Source organism: Homo sapiens, chromosome 19 (assembly GCF_000001405.40).
Source record: "Homo sapiens chromosome 19, GRCh38.p14 Primary Assembly".
Lineage (NCBI taxonomy): Eukaryota > Metazoa > Chordata > Mammalia > Primates > Hominidae > Homo > Homo sapiens.
In genome coordinates this window covers 53,257,856-53,262,448 of record NC_000019.10, presented here as the reverse complement: position 1 = coordinate 53,262,448, position 4,593 = coordinate 53,257,856, and the positions used below count along the sequence as shown (strand labels likewise).

Below are 4,593 nucleotides of genomic sequence, written 5' to 3'. Positions count from 1 at the left end.
CAGTGAGCCGAGATCACGCCACGGCACTCCAGCCTGGGCAACAGAGCAAAACTTCACCTCAAAAAAAAAAAAAAAGATTTTGAAGCTCTGTAACAGGAACCAGGATGAAGACCAGATATATATTTTTTATTATTCCACAACTTCCAGTGACCAAAGCTGCAAAAACTTAAGTAACAAAATTAATTCCTTAGCATTGAATTATATAACAAAATATAAATATCAATGAGTTCATGTTGATATGAATAAATAATTGAACAAACAAATAAATGAAGGAGAAAAGACATATCTTCCTTACAGAAGGATGGCAAATAATCTATGTGGATACCTCCCAGCAGGTGAAGGTTAATTCAATGCCCCTTTCACACAAACACACATACTCACTTTAAGTGTGTGTGATGGGCTTAGAAACTCCCTTCCAAAGATTAGAGTGTGGAAAGGAAAACACAGTAACCATATAGTGAAGAAACTTGACAAACACTATCTTAACTAACTGATCAAGATTAACATCACCAGAGATAACTCATCCAAATTTCCTTAGACTTCTGACAGTATATGATGTGACAAGTGTGGTTTTCTTCCCCAAAACCCATAAAACTAGTCTATCCATGAGATAAACAACAGACAAATTCAATTTTAGCGACATTCTAAAAGTAAAACAATGCTCTTCAAAGTTGTCAAGATCATGAAAAACAAAAACACAGAGCAAAACGGGCTGGGGAGGCAAGATGACTAAACGTAATGTGATGTCCTGGACTGGACCCTGAAAGAGAAGAAAGACTGTGTTAAAACCGGTGAAATATAAATAAAGTCAGTTAAGAGGAATGAACCAACGTTCATTTCCTAGTCTTGACAAATGTTTCATGGCAACATGTTTACATGAGGGACACTGGGTGACGGATATTTCAGAACTCTCTGTGTTATACTTGCAAATTTTCTTCAGATCTACAATTATTCTACAATAAAATGTTTAATTTAAAAAATTATAACCGTTTATAATTTACAGAGGATCATATTAAAATATTTCCTATGTTTGAATTAATATCCTTTTTATTATTTTTTGAGAGGGAGTCTCGCTGTGTTGCCCAGGCTGGAGTGCAGTGGCGCGATCTCCACTCACTGCAAGCTCCGCCTCCCGGGTTCACGCCATTCTCCTGTCTCAGCCTCCCCACTAGCTGGGACTACAGGCGCCTGCCACCATGCCTGGCTAATTTTTTGTATTTTTAGTAGAGAGTGGGTTTCACCGTGTTAGCCAGGATGGTCTCAATCTCCTGACCTTGTGCTCCACCCGCTTGGCCTCCCAAAGTGCTGGGATTACAGGTGTGAGCCACCGCGCCCGGCCTTATCCTTTTTATTTCTTTTGAAGGTGTTCATTTTGCTTTCTTGGTGACTTCAAAATCAATATAAAACTCTGCATTAGGCCAGACACAGTGGCTCACACCTGTAATCCCAGCACTTTGGGAGGCCTTGGCGGGCGGATCACTTGAGGTCAGGGGTTTGAGAGCAGCCTGGCCAACATGGTGAAACCCTGTCTCTACTAAAAATACAAAAATTAGCCAGGCATGGTGGTGCGCACCTATAATCCCAGCTATTCGGGAGGCTGAGGCAAGAGAATCACTTGAACCCAGGAAGCAAAGGTTGCCTGCCTCAGCGAGCTGAGATCGTGCCACTACACTCCAGCCTGGGTAACAGGGAGACTCTGTCTCAAAAAAAAAAAAAAAAAAAAAAAAAGTTCTGCATTAAACAAAACAAATTCATGTATTTTGGCTCCAAATTGTATTCATCTGCTGCTCCAAGGCTGAGGAAGTTTATTCCAAAAACTTGTCTCAAGTTGGAAATGAAAAAGTCCATCCTGAAACCTACTTCTTGCCACTATAGCCAGCTCTATCAAGGCTTACCCAGAACAATCTACCTTTTGAATATCTCAAAAATCCATTCAATTTCTTTCCCACCTGCCAAATCTCTATTTACTTGTTGTCTCCTATGTGCACCCTTTGTTTGTTTTTGAGACAGTCTCACTCTGTCACCCAGGCTGGGGTGCAGTGGTACGATCTTGGCTCACTGCAACCTCCACCTCCTGGGTTCAAGTGATTCTCCTGCCTTAGCCTTGCGAATAGCTGGGTTTACAGGTGCCCGCCATCATGCCAGGCTAAATTTTGTATTTTAGTACAGACAGGGTTTTGCCATGTTGGCCAGGCTGGTCTTGAACTCCTGACTTCAGGTGATCCGCCCACCTGAGCCTCCCAAAGTGCTGGGATTACAGGTGTGAGCCACCATGCCTGGCCCCATCTGCACCCTTTGTAAAAGTGAGCTGACACAGCTCCCTATATTCCTTTTTGTCTCTTATGGATCATTCTTCAAATGTTTACCTGGAAATATTTTAATATACTAATCTTTCTCAATAAACATTATCATATTTCAAATGTCCACAGTTTTTTTATGGGATGTAAGGCACAATTTCAAAATGAGATTTCAAGAGGTCAAATATCCAAACCATAACAACCACCCACATGCTATGCCCATTTAGGCAACTGCTATGCCCATTTATACAATTCCAAGCTCTAGTACGTCTTAGGAAAATTTAATATCTCAGATTGGACATCACACATTTAAAGATGCTTTCAGTATCTATACATTATTTCAGGACTATTTTATGGAATCTGAAGTTCTTCACTGCAATCATTAATAAAAAATACAACTATATAAGTACTCACATGTTAATTACATAAGATTTCATTTACTATGGCTATTATTATTTAGTATTTCACATTGGATAAGTCTCTGTCTTATTCACCCCTCTCTCTGCAGTGAAATTGGCTGATAATCATTCTTAAGATCCCTTGAGGTCTGAGTGCATCAGTGGCCGAACATAAACCAAGACAGCCAATTCACATTTTCCTGAAATCATGAAAGAATCGTCTATTTCTTCTGCAGCAGATACTGCAGAGCCTGGATCTGCTGGGGTCACGGCACATGAGAACAAAAGGGCTAATAGTTGGAAAACAGGCAATGATTAGTGCAGCAGTGTTCACTAGCCACCAACTGGAATTATCGAAGAGAGCTAAATAAACGTAGGTGATGAAGGAAAGGGCGTAACATAATGCAAAGGTGCTCACCAATGCAAGGATGCTTTGGATGGCTCTGTTCCCAGGAGAAGAGTTGGGGTAGAGATTGTTCCTACAGATGTGTTGTACCTGCTGTTTGTGCCTGTACAAGACCAAAACGATGGAGCTGCTGGCCCAGAGCATGAGCCCCAGACACAAAACATCATGGAAGGATGTCAATGCTGCATATACTGACTTTGTGACTTCATCACTAAGTGGGGCAGAACAATATCCCAAATCTCCTTTCTTTGTGATGTTGTTGTTGCTCCATTTGCCAGTTGTATAAATAGGAAAAATGGCATTTACCAGCATGTGGAAGGCCCAGCACAGGATATTGGAGAGACCAATGTATGTCGGGGCTTTTACTTTCATCTCTGCCCACCTGGAGTTCCTAGGGTTGATGGTGATCACCTGGAAGACACTCAAGAGGCAGGTGCTTCCAATGGACACACCCCTGCCTACCCTGTGTGCATACAAAAGAAATTTGCATCCAAAATAATTGTCAAAATGTTTCAACCCAAAAGTTGCCATGGTCTCTGGGATTCTTTTAGATAGGATAACCAAGGAGTCAGCTACAGTCAGGTGCCTGAGAATCAAATCTGTGGATCTTGGCTTGTATCCCCTAAAGTAAAGGAACATATAATAATATAAGAGTGAAAAATTCCCCAGGATTCCAACAACTACCTGGAATAGTGTAGGGTCCAGCCCCACAGGTTTGGTGGGTTTCTCTCCGTGTGCAGAGACAAGAGAGTGTAGAAATAAAGACACAAGACAAAGAGATGAAAGAAAAGACAGCTGTGTCTGGGGGACCACTACCACCAAGACGCGGAGACCGGTAGTGGCCCCGAATGCCAGGCTGCACTGATATTTATTGGATACAAAGCAGGAGACTGGTAGTGGCCCCAAATGCCAGGCTGCGCTGATATTTATTGGATACAAAGCAAAAGGGGTAGGGTAAAGAGTGTGAGTCATCTCCAATGATAGGTAAGGTCACGTGGGTCACGTGTCCACTGGACAGGGGGCCCTTCCCTGCCTGGCAGCCAAGGCAGAGAGAGAGAGAGGGAGAGAGAGAGACAGCTTATGCCATTATTTTTGCATATCAGAGACTTTTAGTACTTTCACTAATTTTACTACTGCTATCTAGAAGGCAGAGCCAGGTGTACAAGATGGAACATGAAGGCAGACCAGGAGCGTGACCACTGAAGCACAGCATCACAGGGAGACAGGCCTCTGGATAACTGCAGGTGGTACTGAGTCAGGCCCTCCACAAGAGGTGGAGGAGTAGAGTCTTCTCTAAACTCCCCCAGGGAAAGGGAGACTCCCTTTCCCGGTCTGCTAAATAGCGGGTGTTTTTCCCTGACACTAACGCTACCGCTAGACCACGGTCCACTTGGCAACGGGCGTCTTCCCACACGCTGGCGTTACCCCTAGACCAAGGAGCCCTCTGGTGGCCCTGTCTGGGCGTAACAGAAGGCTCGCGCTCTTGTCTTCT

The 4,593-nt window shown here is 43.2% G+C and overlaps 1 protein-coding gene across 1 annotated transcript; it reads right to left on the bottom strand.

Moving 5' to 3' along the window:
* Window positions 1-2,846: 2,846 nt before the first annotated feature.
* Window positions 2,847-4,157, bottom strand: VN1R2 (vomeronasal 1 receptor 2). The gene has a single exon (NM_173856.2). It carries the CDS (start codon window positions 4,071-4,073, stop codon window positions 2,886-2,888), a length of 1,188 nt encoding a protein of 395 aa, NP_776255.2. The 5' UTR covers window positions 4,074-4,157; the 3' UTR covers window positions 2,847-2,885.
* Window positions 4,158-4,593: the final 436 nt, after the last annotated feature.